This window comes from Homo sapiens, chromosome 8 (genome assembly GCF_000001405.40).
Source record: "Homo sapiens chromosome 8, GRCh38.p14 Primary Assembly".
Lineage (NCBI taxonomy): Eukaryota > Metazoa > Chordata > Mammalia > Primates > Hominidae > Homo > Homo sapiens.
In genome coordinates, this window is record NC_000008.11 from 16,154,445 (window position 1) to 16,173,502 (window position 19,058).

Below are 19,058 nucleotides of genomic sequence, written 5' to 3' on the forward strand. Positions count from 1 at the left end.
AAAATAATTTGAAACAGTTTTGCTCTTAGTAAAGCACAGAGAGTGACTGTCAGCAAGGTAAGTGTCATCCATATTTTAGCCAATATTTACATTCAGATTTCATTAGTTTAAACAGATATATTCCAAATACTATATAAGAAATATAGTCCAATTTGCTTGTGATTCATAACTCACTACTAGTGTGAGTTTTTATGTCTTAAAAATGAGATAGCTTGCAAATGTGAAGATGATTTATTCAACGCAAAGATAATTGTTGTACTCCCCTTCACATATGATCTACGGTTAGGTCTGCCTTATACTGTTTGCTGTCTATTATATACATGTCACTATCTAGACTTACAAACAATTCCATTTGGTTACTCTGGTTAAAGCATTTATTTTCTTCAACAGTCATGAGTAATGCTTATCATTCAGTGTATTATGTGATTAGGCTACTAGAACATTTACTAATCCCCCAAAACACACACACATATACACACATGTGCGTGCATACACACACACACACACATACACATCCTCTGCAGGATATAAATAAAATAGCAATCCTCCCCTACACATGTACCTGGATGTATATCATCTATCTTCACAGTATATGATTAAATAGCTAAAATTACCATACCTATTGGACCTGGAAATCCTCGTGGACCACTTTCTCCAGTGGGACCTCGATCTCCTTTTTCACCCGGGGGTCCAGGAGGACCTTTAAAAAAATTACAGTTACTGATCATAGTTGTAAAGCATAGGAAAAATGGGTTAGTCATCTGTCAAGGTACTTATATAAGGAAATCCAAAGTCTTCTATTTGTTGTGCAATAATATAGAATGTATAATACTGAACTTCATGAATGGAGGAGTATTCTGCTATTCAGGAATATAATGCCCTATACTAATGAGGATGACATTGCCTCAAAGTAAACAACCTAACAGTATATTAAATGTGAGTGTGCCTAACACTTTTCTATGTTCTGAGAACCTGGGGGCAGAGAAAAGACAGCAGGCTGGCACAAAGTCACATTAGTGTTGTACGCATCCTAGGCAGTTAGACATAGAGTTAGATATAATACAGAATTAGCTACTATACGGAAAATCTATAAGTAAGAACTTAAAAGACATTTGTGATACCCTCAAGGGAAAGGAAAATTCACACATGGTAGACAACCAGAAAGCACTTTGTTGGAACTGACCATAAACTCAGATATTTGTCAGTGAACTGTAGATCGGCGTGAATGGTGATGGTTGAAGTCTTCATTGAGAAAGTAGGATATGAGGGGTACTTTCAAGAATGAAGGGAAGGGGAAGGAAGACAATTCCTAGGGATTGAGAAAGGCATGAGGAAAGGCAGGAAGGTGAAAATGAGTAGAGGAATTCTTTTTTCAAGTAAAATATTAAGTAGAATTTCTAGGTTGCTATAAATACTGTAAACAAAATGGAGACATTGCAAGGAAAACTTTGGTCTCATCATTTTTTTTCAGGTGGCTCTCCTGAGAGCTGTAACTAAACAACCCTGATTTAGCCATTTGTATTTTCTGTGTCCAGCAAAACAGATACCTGCTCATCATGCCTTTAAAATGATTATACCTAGCATGTCTTTAGAACTCAAAGGTAATCCTACCTAAACACCATGTTCCATATGGAGTACAGAGGACAAATAATCTCTTCTTTATCTAAAGAAGAGCACTTAGTTTCCTTTTCAACACCAGAAGAAAGAAACAGAAAGAAACATTATTCCATAGATTCACCACAGAATAAGGAAATAGTGATATTTTAAAGGAAGCATTTTCAATTGCTAGTTTGGACACATACATAGTCCAAGGAAAACAAATATATACAGCATCCCTGGTTAGAATGCACTTGTTTACAAATTTTAATCAGGTGGGAGACATAATACCCGAAGAAATCTAAGAGGGGGAACCACATAAATAAATAAAGATTATCTCATGAATAAGTATATTTTGTACATTTTGTTGTTGCTTATTTTGACATCCTTGACTCTACTTCTGTCTATTCCTCTGGTATGTCCCATTTTCAAGGTACAATTTGGGTTTTAGAGGCCCAAGATATCATTATTACTCTTCTCAATAGAATGTCCCTTTCTCCTCATATGCAACATTGGACACACATTTAATTGTATTTTTATTATAAAAGCAACTCTACTTATAGGAAACATAAAAGCCTAGAAAAAGCGTGAGGAAGAATATAATTCGTAGTTGTGTTATTTTAACTAAAGATCTTTACCATTTCTTTCCTAAGTGTGTACGTGTATTTTTTTTTTCCACATAATCGTCATGCAAACAACATGTTACAGGGCTTTTAGAAATTAACTGGTGTATTATATTCTAAGGTATAGCTTAATTGCTGCGAGACATATATTTAAATGCTGCACAAGAAATGTAAGATTTCTGTATCAAAGGGAATCTCTATGTGCCCCCTATTCCCTGCAGAAGAATGTAGTACTTCCCAAGAAAATGGAGTTATGGTAACTTCCATAACCATGAACGCAGCTGCATCCATTCAACACTACATAGCAATGAATCCCAGGGGAGGGGGGCAAGCAGGACAGACACTCAATTTATGCCTGAATTTTGTTGAGCTAATTGAAGGGAAGCACAGGGATAGTAATCAAGGATGGTATTTTGAAAAAAGTGCGCAAGCAAAGATTTCAGTTTAGTAACTCAGGATCCAAAGCAAGACGCAGACATTCCAGGAAAAACTAGAACATGAAACAAGAAGAAACAAGGGACACAGAGAATAGATCTAGACTCTTAGCCTCTGAGATGGACTTCTCACCATTTCTTTGGTAAGTAAGAGATGGAAGGAACTCTCCTAATTACTAACTATCCTTTCAATTATATTACATGTAATTATGGGAACTGTATACTTAATTTTGGAGTATTAGTTCAATCACAGCGAATAGATCAGTATTATTTTACAAAATTTGGAGTTAAAGATCCCTCTCTGTATTTTTATATAAAAATACTGATACCTGGTATTCGAATCCTACAATAAGAAAAACAGGTAAAGATTTTTGTTAGAGTTCTAACTAGGCATGTTGAATGTACCTTTTTATTGTCATTCTATTCTTCATGTAACATTAATCTCACATTATGTTTCATTTTTGTACATTGTTATAGATCTTTTACTGTTTCTAACAAAATGTTGGAAGGATCTCAATAAATGTTTTAAGTGTCTTTTAGATTCATTGGGGGAATAAAATAACAAATTATATACCACTTTACTCTTAGTTTCTGATGCAGAACTTTTAAGAACACTATCCACTACCTTGCCACCTTCCAAAACTAGCCTCCTCTCCATTCCCATTGTAGCTCACGTCTTCACCATCACACAGCTGGACTATTGCTAGAGATTTTTAATCTAGTCTGAATGTGTTTTATCTGTTTCACCTCCTAGTTCCCTCAGTGTTGGCTTTCTTCTTCTTTTTGATAAGAATCCGTTTTGCAATGTCTCTATCAAATTAAGGAAATGCAGTAACCTATTCTGTCATATTATGGAAAAAAGAATAAAGACTTAGAGTCTCTTGTAGTCACCTTTTGTTCGTAGTTTCCATTTAGTCTTTTCAAAATTTTGTTCCATACTGACATAATAACTGCCTCGTTGCATCAATAAATGGACAAAATGCTACCTGTCAGCTCCCTTGCTGATACATGTCAAAAAAAATGGGTTAATATTGGCCAAAATATATGATTTATTCTAGTTCAAGAAGCCATAGAATTTACATTATTTTTCATCTTTAATATTTCCAATTACAGTTACAGGAATAATTCATAAATACTATCACAATAATCTGCCATGAAGAATTACCTTTATACAACACATGCACAAAATCTACTATGTAGCTTCCTCCATGATTACTTCTTAAAAAGGAAAAGTAATATTTCTATATAACCACAAAAAAGTACTGATATATAATATTTGATAATCATCAATATCATAGAACAAAATTACACAATTTACTAGAAAAACAAACCCAGGTGTATCATATCATTTAAAATCCTCAGACGATAACATAGCACTAATAATATCTGACTAAGTTTCCAGAGCGATGCTTCTCTAGTTTTTATTCATTATGAGCATTAATCTTCTACTCCGTTTTCAATCTTGTCTCATATTCAGATCATCATAAAAATCTGCCACATCTTCTAGTCTATTGCTGCCTAAACCTGCTTCTTTTTTTTTTCTCTAGTTTTCATGCTCATTGATTTAGATATGTTTAATCTGGAAGACACTTTAAACATTGTTTAACTAAACATATTTATAGAGGGTCAGAGAGTGAGTTGCTCAAGGTCTTAAAGCTAGTTGGGTTAAATCAGAACTAGAAGAATTTCATTTCTTTCCTGATCCTATGCTACCATGTTCTAAATTTAATTGACTTCATTTTCCACATCTGTTCTTCCATTATTCCTCAGCTGAATTTTTCCTTTACATAGTGGTTAGACAAACTCACAATTCAGTTTTTTTCCTTTGGTTAATTTTTTTTTTTTTTTTTTTTTCAGAGATAGGGTCTTGCTACTTTGCCTAGGCTGGTCTTGAACTTCTGGGCTCAAAAGGCCCTCATGTCTCACTCTCCTGAAGTGCTGGAATTATATTGTCTCAGCCTCCCAAAGCGCTGGGATTACAGGCATGAGCCACCACTTCTAGCCTACAGTCCAGCTGTTACAATCTCAGTAATTAATTATACAAAACTCCAAATTCAAATGCCCTCAGTTGCTTTTTCATTTTCTCTACTATAAAAATCAATATTTCTTTTTTGGTGCTTTCATATCCTAGGAAGCCAATATATCTAAAATGTTTCCAAATAAACAAAATGTTAGCTATTCTCACCACAGAGTCATATTATATTTTATTTCTCTTAAATACCTTTCTCTAGAGTTCATCTTTGCTTCTTTAAATCACGTTATCCCCAACTCTCCACCAAACTCTACTTCACCATTTCCACAATGAAATTTTATGTAGTTCTTTAAGGCTCTAATTATTATAACTATTTGAGAAATGTATTAAAAAATCTTTGTCTCTTTTAACTGTATAATTATTTAGTGATTATTAATATAAGGGAAAAGAGAACACAAAGTAATTACACTAACTCTGCAATCAACACATGATAAAGGATAAAGCACTCATTAATTTCTAAAATATGGTTCTTAAGTTATAATTTAATTAATAGATATTTTATGGCTAGGTGCTATAAGAGATATAAAGAACAGTTTCTAATGGAAGTAGCTTGTGTCCAGGAAGAGTGAACACTGTTCTCGAAGAGAATATGAGATACTTTTATACATAACTATCACATTAAGTATTCTCTTGTGAGAGAATACTTAATGTTCCATATTAAGACAGAAATAAGTATCAGCTGGGCCTTACTATTGGTAGAACCAGCAAAGGCTTCATGCAAGAGGTGGCATCTTAGATGGACTTTGAATGATAAACAAGATATCTTCGAATACAAATCAAAGAGAAAATATTTCAAATAAAGGAAAAGACATGAGGCAGGATGCACAAAGTACTGGGTACATTAGAATCACAGTCAAATTAGTTGAAATATTTGATATACAAAAAAGACAAGCGAGGGAATGAAGCATTCAAGACTAGTTAAGAGACACACTGAAAAAGACCTTGAGTGCTACAGGCAAAACTGTATGTCTAATGACGGGGCAACAGAGAGTCTTTATGCAATCTAAGACTTCCTTTAGGAAGGCTGTATTCTACAAGGGTGCAAAAAGGATTACAGTCTGGGCAGGAAACAATTGCAACTCTGGCAAAGAGTCATAAGAATAATTTATACGAGGATATAAAGAAATGACAAAGGAACAGAGAATACAGAATGTTGAGAACTAATGGTGGTCTTGGGAGATATAAAATAATTAAAATTGATAGCTTGGAAACCAGGAAGAATGACACTGCTATTATAGAGTGTAACTTGCTAAGACAAAAGTCTTAGTTTCACTTATTCACTCAACACATATGTAATTGCTCACCCACTATTTTCCAGGCACTCTAACAGGCATTGGGATTGCAGAGGTAGACAAGGAGGAGAAGACTTAACCTCACAGAGCTCACATTCTGCTGGAGAAGATACAAGCTAAACAAGTAAGCAAATGTAGAGATGACATGATTTCATATAGTGGTAAAAACTATGAGGAAATTAAAGCAAATCATGGTAGAGAGAGATGGGGGAGTTTAGAATAAGAATGGTGGAAAGTGGAGGAGGTAACTTCAAGTGGAGCCAAGAAGGAGTAGAGACGTAGAGAAGAACCTTTCAAGAGAAAGAGAAAATGTCTAGTGTTCATTATGGACAGCATGAAATGAAACAAGCACTTTTTCTATATTAACTTTTACTTGTTCGTGGCACTTCATTCTTCCACATTTCCAAGCTAGGCAGAAGGATGACAGAGGGAAGATTGAGAAAATTAGGGCAGAGAAGTAGACAGGTGACAGACCAAGTAGAAGTTTAGATTTTATCCCAAGACTAATGAGAAGACATTGGAGGATTTAAGCAAGAGAGAGAAAAGACACATCTAGTGTAAAGAGAGAAACCACACACATCCAGTAATTTGTGTGGGTTTTCTTAAATAGCATTTTTTTTTTTTTTTTTTTGCTATTTAGAATGGACTAAGAGCAGAGCCAGGGACACCAACTGAGAAGCGGATGTAATACACCAGACTGGGATATGGTTGCTTGAATTAGAGTAGTAGTAGAGAGTAAGAAGAAGTTTGGTTTGAGATATTGTATGAAATAAGAATTAGTAGGACTTACAAATGGATTACATAGAGAATGAGAGCAAGGAAGTCAAAGACAGCTTCCAAGATCAGGCAGTGAGCAGGTAGTTGGAAAATGACAAAACCAACAAAAAGACTGAAAACGCAACAGATTTGGGGAGGCAGATGCGGGTGGCTAGTTAAGAAGCAAGGATTTGGTTTTGAATTTGTAAAGCTTCGGACATTTATTTGAAATCCAAAGTGGAGGTATCTAACTGTTAGAGAAAAATCTGATTAATTCAAATTTTTCTTTATCATCTGTTTTATTGTGATAAATACTATATATGATATGTGTTCTGTATAAGCAAGCTATAAAGTACAACAATAATGAGAATACCCTTGCAACATCACAATCCAAGAAATCGGTATCTACCTAGATGTTCCCCTATCTCATTCATCTATTTCCTTTTCATAGATAAATATTACCCTGAATTTTGTGTTTATCATTTTCTTAAATTTTAAAACAATGATTATATTACATATTTATGTGTCTGTAAATTTACATAATTTTACTAACTATGAGCATTAGAAGTAAAAATTGTCTATATATAGTTTTCTGGGACTTGTTTTTATTCTTTTTTTCATTGTCATCACTTGATTATTAGGCTTCTTAATTTTCTCAAACTAGTGTATTTGAAATGAAGTCACATGAAGTTCTTAGTTCTATTTTTCTAGTTGCTAATGATATAAAATGAGACAAAATATTAAAATCATGAAATAGAGCTTAACAGACATGGAAGCTGGAATGAGAACATCCAATATGAATTTCATGTAAGTTACAGAGGAAAGGAGAGAAAGAATCGTGAAGAAGCAATAGTCAAAGTGAATGAAGCTGGTTATATTCCCAAACTGATAGACATAAATCCACTAATATAAGAAGTACAGCAAATGTTAGATGGATAAATTATCAATACAAAACCACAGATAAGTAAAACTGCAGATATGAAAGACAAAGAGAATGACAAACAGATTGGTGGCAGTCATTTTAAGAGCCACAAGAAAAGCTTGAAGCCAGGGGACCAATTTTTTCAGCACACTGATAGAAGGAATCAAAATAACTGTCAACCTAATAAGTGTGTATATAGTAAAACAATTTCAAAGATCAAGTCAAAATAGAGAAAATGAAATCAGAAGGTTTCTTGATCAATTTACTTTCACTAAATGAACTTCCAAAAGATATACTTCAGGCAGAAGGAAAATAATCCCAGAAGAAATGCCCGAGGTGCTTTTAGAACGGAGAACAATTGGTAAATTCATGCGCAAATTTAAATAAATATTTGTTGTGGGTGAGCGATGACTATCTGAGCCAGTGGTGCAGGGTTAAATAATTTACCAAGATGGTTGTAGATAAAGAAAGGCAGATTTATTAACAAAAGCAGGAAAATACGTTGCAAGGAGGCAATGAGCAGGCCAGCAGAAGAGAAACTGATTGCCAGGAAACAAAGGTTTGCTGAAGATTTTATAGAATAGTGTTTATAACGTATGCTGAAGAGAGCTTGTGCAGTACTGATAAACCAAGGTTAGAGTGGGTTAACTTGCAGGTATCTGGTGACAAGTTTCTTGCAGGAGGGACCTACATGTTCTGGACCAAGAAGAAAGGCAGATTTATAGCTTATCTTCTTTCTCTTTGCTTTCCCTGGTCCTACCAGCCTGACTACTTTTCCCTAATTAAGGCTCCACAAGATTGTCTGTATAAAAAAAGAAAAATAATATTGACTAAGTTCTCGATTAAAAAAAAATAAAGTAGAATAAACTGTACTAAAATATTAGCAGGAAACTAGGGAAGAGGATCATCAAAGCACTTTCAGTTCCTTGTGTATTTTAGGATGAATGTTAAGATACTGATCAACTTTAGACTTCAAGATAAATGTTAAGGTCAACAATCAATAAGAAATAGAAATATACTACAAAGTTTCTGAAACCTGTTTGGTAATTTTGGTAGAGAGAAAAATTCAGCAAGAGAAAAATCTTAATCAATCCAAAAGTGGCAATACAGCAAAGCAAAAGAAACATAAAATAAACTGGAAAAAACCAGAGCACATGATAAGATAGTGGAAATAAATACAGTGCAAAGAGATGGTCAGATTGTATATTTTTTTAAAAGAAAAGGTAAGTATTCATTACAAGAGACTAACCTAAAACAAAGAATACCAACAGGCAAAAGGTTGCAATCAAAATATAGAAAAATACATGCAAATGGTTGAAATCAAAATATAGAAAATCAAAATCAAAATATAGAAATCAAAAAATCAAAATATAGAAAAAATCTATAATGTAAAGCTAAAACTAAAATATCTAAAATGTAAAGCTAAAACTGAAAGCCTATATATATAAAGAAAGCATATATACATATATTTTATTTATATATATAAGTAAGATCCAATTCACCTTATTTCACTAACAGGCACTGCAGAAGAAATGGACAAATCCATCATTATTTTGGAGAGTTCAAAAGATCCTTTTAATTAATAATACAGTCAAGTAAGAAATAAAAAAGACTGGAAGTTTTGGAAAAGCAATATTAACAAGCTTGGTTTGTGAACATGTGAAGAAACTTGTAATTACAAAAAACTTGTATTCAGTACTTATGAGGTAGTTTTTAACAATGAGAAAATCATTAGACCTTAAGATATATTTTGCTTTTCCCTTTCTATTTAAGTGATACCAGGCTACTGGTTATCGTACCCTGTCTTTATCTGATTTTCATATTCTTTCCTTTGGGTATTTGCAGTAAATGTAAGCTCAGAAACTATTTATTTCAAACCATAGGATTTCAAATATCAAATCTCTGCATGTATCAGTATATTTTAATATATATATCATTTTCTGGAGAAATGACAAGACATTTTACCTTGAATTAAAGTGATATTTCTCAAGGTCTGAGAATGTTCCCAATCTTTCAGTCTGAGATCATTAGTGATGTTATTCAGTACTTTCACTTCTCCTTTTATTTCCTGTTCCAAATGCACTTGTTCTTCTTTCATAGCCATAATTTCTGCTGATACATTGTAAACACGCTCCTCTAATTTACTGATTTCCTGTAAAACATAAGTGAGCATTCACAGCCTTTGTTACATACATAATTATCAAATATGAAAGTTCAAGAAACCCTCGGAGTTCAGGTTTTTAAAAACATATTATGGGAGTTTTATGGAATAAGAATATAGAAATTAGAAAACTGTTTTGAAAGTAGTAATTCTTTAATTGTGAAACATTTCCTCTTTTGACTGAATGGCTGAATGTTTACAATCACAACCCCCTTCAAAAATCAATTTAATGTATCTATGATATGTTTCTATTCCTATATATATAGATGTCAAAATTCTAACAATAAAATTAAATAAACACCATAAGGTCTTAATTTATCTGAAGTAAAATGTCTTCGTACTGTACTTACAGTGGCAACATAGTCAAATTTCGTGAATTTGATAGATTTATATTGGAAATTGTTTTATAGTAATAAGTGAAGTTTAATGTCATAATCCTCAGTGGTGATGATCATTGACAATAGATTTTCATACTCAATAAAACCTCGAACTCGCATATTAACAGTGCTTTACTTTCAGTTTGCATTGCCTCTGTATTTGAGGCATTAGTATTTTGTGTTTTCAAATACACGTATATTTTGTGTATATTTATACATACACATTCATATACTTAAGAGTGTGAAAAAGACAGAGGATCTACCTATATCCTGGAATATGCTTTTATATTTTACTCAATAATATATTAAGGATATTTATCTATTAAAATACTTTAGAGACTGATATTTTCAGTAATTTAGTGGAATTGAATCTATTTCTCAAAATTTATTTAGGATTCCTATTCATAGTGTTTTGAGCTGTGCACTTTTCTACAACTAAACAATGCTGCCATGAACATCATTTTAAATATATTTGTATATTGATATAAGTACTTCTATAGAACATCTTCCTGAAGTGGATTTGACCAAAGGGACTAAACATTAAACAGCATTTTTGTTCAACCATTGCCGTACTACTCTCCAAATATATGCTACCATTTTTCTTCCTCTTACTGCGTATCAGCGTCCACTTTTTGCAGCTGAATACTGGGTACCATTAATATATTTAAGTTTGCATAGTAAGAGTAGGTACATAGCAAATCATTATTACTTAACTTGTTTTTCAAATTATAGTGAGGTTAAAGTATCCAGTCATTAAATTTCTGACGATTAATGTTTATTAATTTTTCTTTTAGATCATTTGCTTGGTTTTCTCTTTCAGCATTGGGCTTTTTATTTTTGATGAACCAAATGTTCTCATCTATTCTGGTAATAATTTTTGTCTCTCTGTTCTACTTTTATCCCATTTTCTGTCTTCATTGTATGCTTTATTATTGTATTAAGTACTCCTATGTTCTAAAGTTGATAGATACTCATTTCCGATTTGCACATGGGGAAATAAGCCAGTGGTATGTTTTTCTTTAATCCAGAAGTAAAAAGAATATTACACTCTCTTGAGCTGGACTAGACTAGACAAGCTTAGGTGAGAGGATCAAGATGGTCAGAGTGTAGGACCTTCGAAAATAAATGAATGTGCGTCTAGATTTGCCTCTTCAATGACACTATACTGAAGCAGAGAGACTTACCAGCTTTTATTGCTCTAACTGTGCCTTCTCCCAAACAAAACCTTATTCTAGATTAGAATTTCTCTATCTTGCACCTCCTCCTCCCCTGACCATTTAATATTTTCTGTACAATACCATCATTACAATAAAGGTGAAATAGTGAGCATGGATGTTTGTAGGGCACACCGCCATGATAAATACACTTGACTTAATTTAGGGGGCTAAAAATTGCTGCAAGTATGTCGGGTAGTTCCAGACATTCAGCATAAAGTGTTAAGTGACTAGACAGTGATTTTGCTTCCTAGAAACGAGGAATCATCCAGGTTTTTCATCATACCTAAAAGCTGAGGCTACTTTTTCTTTCTTTTTTTTTTTTTTTTTTTTTTTTGAGACGGAGTCTCGCACTGTCACCCAGGCTGGAGTGCAATGGCATGATCTCGGCTCCCTGCAACCTCCACCTCCTGGGTTCAAGTGGTTCTCCCGAGTAGCTGGGATTACAGGTGCACACTACCACACCTGACTAATTTTTTTTTTTTTAATTTTGTAGAGATGGGGTTTCACTATGTTGGCCAGACTGGTCTCGAACTCCTGACCTCGTGGTCCACCCACCTCGGCCTCCCAAAGTGCTGGGATTACAGGTGTGAGGCACTGCGCCTGGCAGCTGAGGCTGCCTTATTATTCCCTTCTTTGAAAACTGCACATGGTGTTTACATTTGTCAAATTTCAGTGGAAATTATTTTCACTGGGAGGAGGAAAAGTGTATTTAATTTCAAAAAATCCTATATAGCATCCACACACTCCCTCCACATGCTACCACCAGTGACCCTCCTAGAAACAGGCATTTAATTTTGTAGTCGTACAGTCCTTTTCACCTCTATGGATGATGATAAATGCCACCCCTGTCTTTCATTTGGTGCCAATGTTCTTCCTCTTTCTTTCAAATTAATTTTTGGTGTGTCCTTGATAAGTGTTATGCTGGTGTCACTTATAACCTATTTCCTCAAACGCCATTTACAAATTCAGGCATTCATTTAATTTATTTATTCCTACATTGAGCTAAAGATTCAAAGGTCAATAAAATTATTCAAGCAATGGGGATGAGCGTCCCAATGTTGTTTTTCAGTGTACACAGGAGTACACACACACACACACACACACACACACACACATGCACGCACTGGCACTGACCTAGTTTCTAAGTCTCTGTGAGTGACTACTGTTTTTAAAGATGTATATAGCTTTCAAACTTTCACCATTCCCTTGCATTTCCTTTTCTAATGCTGGAATTCCCTCCAAAATTTAAGTGTAATCTATCGAAACTCAAACAGCTCACTGATCACCAGATTTTGATCGTTTCCATTAATTATCACTTCAAACAGGTTCAAAATTTCTACCACCTTCCAGATAGTTTCCAATTTGCTTTCAATTCCTCATGTTTGGGTTCAAAAGCATTCGATGGTCAGCCAGGCGCAGTGGTTCATGCCTGTAATCCCAGCACCTTGGGAGGCCAAGACGGGCAGATCACCTGAGGCCAGGAGTTCGAGATCAGCCTGGCCAACATGGTGCAAACTCTGTCTCCACTAAAAATACAGAAATTAGCCGGGTGAGGTAGCACGTACCTTTGATCCCAGCTACATGGGAGGCTAAGGCACGAGAATCACTTGAACCTGGGAGGCAGAGGTTGCAGTGAGCCATGATCTCACCATTGCACTCCAGCCTGGGCAACAGAGTGAGACTCCATCTCAAAAACAAACAAACAAACAAACAAACAAAAACATTCCATGGTCTCTGCAGGATTTAATGCACTGCCAGAATCAAATGTATCCTTCTTCTTCCATCTCATCCACCTTCCCTCTGTCCTTACCTCATCTCAGTGCTCTTCTGACCCTATTTCTACATAAATAGTATTTCTTCTCCATTCTTCTTTCCCCTCAACTTAATCAATGTCTATCCTGATAACTAACATTTTCGCTTTCTGTCTTTCTTATATTATTCAAAACTATGGACAGTTTCTTCTTTGTACACTTTCTCTAATCTTTCTATAGCCCAAGGCTTTGATATCCCAATACCCTTTGATATGCTTACTTATTAACAATGTAGGAAACACTGATAGATTTTAGACGTGACATGGAATAGAAACGGAATATCAACATGTTGGGATGAGGTTCACCAACAGACTCCCCATACAAAAACTGTAATACCATTGTCTTCTGACACCTTAAGGTGAGGACCATGTATAAGTTCAAAAGTTCTGAGTGAAACTTACAAATAAAAAAAAAAATCTAAGCATATCAAATATGTCTGTTGCAAAATTCACACATACAGAGTGTTCACTTCTCAAGATCTGCTAAGATAACCTAAAAATTATGATTGGTTTAGGCAGTCTAAAAAGACATTTTAACAGTATTTATAAAATATGTAAAGGGAGTCTATATTCAATGGGAAAAATTTCCCCTTTTTCTAAGAGTTTAGAGAAGGCGAATCCATTTTAAATCCCTTAACATTCGTTTAAAATCTGGATAAGTTAGCCATAGAAATCAGGGTAAACAGGATGATGAAACAGGGTTTGCAACTTTTGCTTTCCTGTACTGCCTAAGGAGACGAGACTTGGATGGATTCAGTTCCAGCAAGTGACCTTGCAGTCCACAAACTCTTACCTCTTGTTGTTTGAAGGTATTCTCTTGGATTTTGCCATTCAGATTTTCTATGTTGAGCTGCAAATCAAGCAATGTGGTATTCAAACTTATTAAGGACTTGGAGATTTCATCTATTGCATTCCCATGTCCCTGGACTGAGGAAAACAAGGTACTTAGCTGCAGAAGAATGTCATTAAATCTTTGATCAGTTGTCATGCTGAAATTTTGGAAATGCTCTGTGTCCATGAGGTTGGCTTCCATGTCTAAAATATGCTGGATTCTCTTCTCCATGTTGCTCATGTGTTCCATAAAGACTTCTTGAAATCTCATTTCCTCTTCGCTGTCATTTCCTTTTCCCGTGAGACTTTGAGTTATATCATTTGCATTAGTTGAACTAACTGAGCAATTCTTCGTTTCCCACTTCAGGAGTTGAGCTGTATATTTAAGTAAAAATAAACCAGTCATGGCCTGATCCTTGAATGCATACAGGATCCCATCCCATATCATTCCATTCCGTTCATTTTATTCCATTCCATTCCAACATTTTGAATGCTAGGCTAAATCGAGTATTTTTTTTTAATCTACAACGTGTGAACTACGCTACGTATATTGCTGAGAAGCATACATTCTCCCTTTCCTATTTTACGTTAAGATGATTCCAGGATTATATCATGCTTTCTGAATTGCTGCTTATATGAATCTTCTTGGCCATTGATTTTGGCCTTGCCAATTAAAAAAAAATTCTATAGATTATGAAAGGCTATGTGTCTACAGAACTGCTGTTAGAATAAAGTGGACTAATGCTTAATACAGTTTCTGAAGTAAGCATGTTGAATATGTTAACAATGGCAGTGATAATCATGATGATGACAAAAGCAATAAGTGGTGAAATAGTGGTGTCATGCATAATATGGATAAATTGTTGGTTTATCTTCTTCATTCTTTCACTTGAGCTGCCAGAAAAGCGTCATTTTCAGTTAATACAGACCTAATTCACAGTTGGTGGAGCAGGAAATTGGGCAAATACATTTTTTCACTTTATAAAGGTACGATTCTCATAAGACTCCTTTTTAACTATTATAAAATATATATTCACAGCAGAAAATTTAGAAAATATACATAATATGGAAAAACAATTTACCATGAATCTCACCATCCTAGCTTAAACTCTAGGATTTTGGTGTACGTGTCTCAACCCTTATCATATTATTATCTTAAAATATGACATTTTTAAACAATCTGGAAACAACTTTTTAATGTAATGCTCTATCATAAGTACTTTTTTATATTATTTAATATTATTCTACAAAAATAATTTTAAAAACTCCATTGTAGTATATGTATGGATCTGCCAGATTTATTTAAAAAATAGCTGCATTTAGTTTGCCTCTGTTTTCAGTAATATAGCCAATGTTTTGATGAACAATCTTGTGATTAATTATTTCCCAAATTAAAAAAAAATTATATTCTAAAATAGTATTTTAGGAACATACTGAGCTGCTGATAGATATCCCCAAATGGGCATATGTTCTCTAAACAATCTAATTATCATTCTGAAATAATCTAAAGCAATATGTTTTCTAGTTTCAAAAAAATAAAAGGCTTAAACATTAACTTTTTATGCAAAAATAGGCCGGGTGCGTTGGCTCATGCCTGTAATCCCAGCACTTTGGGAGGCGCAGGGAGGTGGATCCCCAGGTCAGGAGATCAAGACCATCCTGGCCAACATGATGAAACCCCGTCTCTGCTAAAAATACAAAAATTAGCCAGGCGTGGTGGCGGGCGCCTGCAGGCCCATCTACTCAGGAGGCTGAGGCAGGAGAATCACTTGAACCTGGGAGGCAGAGGTTGCAGTGAGCCGAGATCACGCCACTGCACTCCAGCCTGGGCAACAGAGTGAGATTCCATCTCAAAAAAAAAAAAACAAAACATGAATAATTATAGAGAATGAGGAAAATGTTAAACACAATCTTATCACTATTCAGTCATGGCTGAGGTTTTCTGTTTTCCTATATCTCTCTATATGTATCTATTTATACCTTTTATCTACATGTATGTTAGTCATATTCATATTAGATTGGTTGTATAAGATTTTCCGCATTTGACAATTATGGAACAATAAAAAGAATAATTTCATATTGCTCAAAAATATATGCAGCTCCACCTGAGTCTATCAATTTTCTAATAAAAGTGATATGGTGATAGTACCATTTTTATAGATTTTTGAGAATTAAACAACACATGAAAAACATTTAGTTCTACCCCTAACTCAAGGATTTTGTTCAATAACTAACAGCTTGGTGTTTACATAGGATCTAGTTCCCTGATTCTAGAATCTTCCTACACTCCTCCATTACCAACTAGGCTACTCTGAACAAGTTACTTATCGCTCTCCTTGCTTTGGTTTTCTCAATTTGTAAAAGTAACAATTACCTCAACAGTGGTGCTGAACACTAATTAAATAGGCATATCTATTCCTCTAAAGTGCCTTGTACATGAGAGACATTATCTCAGTTACAGAGTCCACCGTATTTACTACCTTTACTTAAAGAGGCTGTGTGTGGATCACCTGAGGTCAGGAGTTCGAGACCAGCCTGGCAAACATGGTGAAACCCCGTCTCTACTAAGAATACAAAAATTAGCCAGGCGTGGTGGTGGGTGCCTGCAGTCCCAGCTGCTCGGGAGGCTGAGGCAGGAGAATTGCTTGAGCCCGGGAGGCGGAGGTTGCAGTGTGCCGAGATTGTGCCACTGCACTGCACTCCAGCCTGGCTGACAGAGCAAGACTCAGTCTCAAAAAAAAAAAAAAAAAAAAAAGAAGCTGTTTGATAAGCATTACTACTGTAGCTATTATTACATTAAGAGTGTCATCCTAAATATGCAGTTAAATTCTAATTTCAAAAAATACATGATACCATATTTTTCCTTGTTTTATTAATTTAATATTAGCTTATGTGAAATAACAAAATATGACAATATTTTGATGTGATCTACAATAGAGTTTGTATTGAGTATGTTACTCTACATGTCTTAACGTATCAATACCTTGGAAATAAAAGTATATTTCTTAACTGTATCTCATCACATTTATTAAATTCATTGTGGGGACCAAGTTTTGGGTTGACAGCCTCATCCATGCATTCATTAATTCTATGATTTAATTCTTATATACTATGTGGAAAGTATTGCTTGAGTTACTCTGGGAATAAAAGAACAATTGGGAATGGAATTTGACTGTAACAATGAGGAGCCCAAATAAACAATTTTATCAAAATTACTTCAAAATTTTCCTCTAACGTTGTCCTTTTTTGATTATTATTTCTTTTGAAGTAGCAGTTAAGAATTTAGATTCTAGAATAGAACTGCCTGGGTTAGCAATTCTGGCTCTGCCCTTTATAAACTATGGCGTTGGACAAGTTACTTAATCTGTTATTGCCTCTATTTCACCACCTGTATAAATGGGGTACTAATAGTCAGTGTCCAAATAATTAAATGAACTATATGTAAAATACTTAGACCACTTCCTGGCATGTAATAAGCACTTGAAAAGTTTCAGGTTTTTGCTATGATTAATATTTGGATTCAAGATGTGTGATTCAGGTACCTATATGCCCAATATTGATTAACTATGGGGAAGTAGCATTGTGTGATAAAAATCTTTTTCTGGAGTTGGATGTTCATATGAACACAGTCATCTCTCTGCTTTATTTTACTATGCACATTGCTCTGATTGCTCAACCATATACTTTTACTTTCACTGGAAATAAGATTTATTTTGTATCAGTAAAGCTAATATTTTTCACAATATGGAAAGAGAAGCCCCAATGTGACTAAGGTCATATGACCAACTATTTTTAATTTGACAACAAGTTAAACATGAGGTGACAGTAAATGCTACATTTTGTTAATAGATCTAAAAACACAAATTGCCTGTTTCATCGAACCCTGAGTGAAAACTAATTTTTCTATAAAATGTTAACTTTTTATCATATATCTAGGTAAAGAATGCCAGGATTTATATTTTCAAAAGTTCACTTATTTTTATTGGAGAGATGGCATTTTGTGACTTTTCTGTTTCACATATGAAAGGAGACAGAATTTTATGGTCTGTGCAACAACCTACGGACAGGGTTATATTTGATTCTACAGATCATATCTACTCTTTCATATTGGAATTATCTTTTCATACCCCAAATGGATATTGTTTTCAGCTAAAGAATTTTTAGTATTTCAGTAACAATTTATATATATATACATAAATTCTTGATTTTTATCTTATTGTTCTGACACAGTATTATGTTGTTACACTCTGACAGTATTTCAGCAGCTTCTTTAAGAAAAGATTGTAAATGGAATAAACCTTATAATTAAGAAAATACCCCTCAATATATAATTCACTTCACAGAGTTTTATATATAATATTCTATTTCACCCATGAATTCATATTTGCCAAACTTCTACCATTTTAGGGATATATTCTGTCTACATTTGTAATTTTTTATGCCAAGTAGAGATATATATTGCTTTTTAGTTTCTTTTTGAAAAATATACTGATCTACAACTTAATTAAAGTTGTAAGTGGATTGTGAATTGTTTATTGTTAATACATAATAAACATAGTGAGGCCTTTTCCAAATTCTGGTGAATCTGATACTGATGTGTACTTATAAAATTTGAACATTCTTAGTGTCTAGTCAATTTTAGTCGGTACCTACTGTAGTTTCAGTAAACAAACTACTTCAAATCAATCATTGTAAACTCCAGAATAAATGTGTTGACTTGGTAGTATTTTCTAATAGCTCGGGGACTTTGAACTTGGTTAGAACCTTGAATTATTTTCCGACTCCTGTCTGCACTCTGCACGAGCCTATCAGAAGCTGCGGTCCCTGGTGCTGGTACTGCAGGCAGTGATTTGCATAAAGGTGATGAAATCTACTCAAATTCTAATTGGTTTATATGTAATAATCCCAACAATGAAGCATCATTTAGTTATACATTTCAAATTACAGATAAGCATAGACATAAACAAACATACAGATAACCTTGATTTACCAGGAAATTGTTTAATG

At 34.2% G+C, this 19,058-nt stretch overlaps 1 protein-coding gene across 5 annotated transcripts in view; it reads right to left on the reverse strand.

The window, feature by feature from the left end:
* MSR1 (macrophage scavenger receptor 1) overlaps positions 1 to 19,058 on the reverse strand; it is an 84,771-nt gene that overhangs the window by 46,564 nt on the left and 19,149 nt on the right. For all 5 annotated transcript variants that reach the window (NM_138716.3, NM_138715.3, NM_001363744.1 and 2 more), the window contains exons 4-6: positions 14,014 to 14,426; positions 9,621 to 9,807; positions 620 to 700 (exon numbers count right to left, since the gene is read on the reverse strand). In NM_138716.3, the coding sequence (NP_619730.1) occupies positions 620 to 700; positions 9,621 to 9,807; positions 14,014 to 14,426 (681 nt within the window). The remainder of the gene's footprint in view (positions 1 to 619; positions 701 to 9,620; positions 9,808 to 14,013; positions 14,427 to 19,058) is intronic.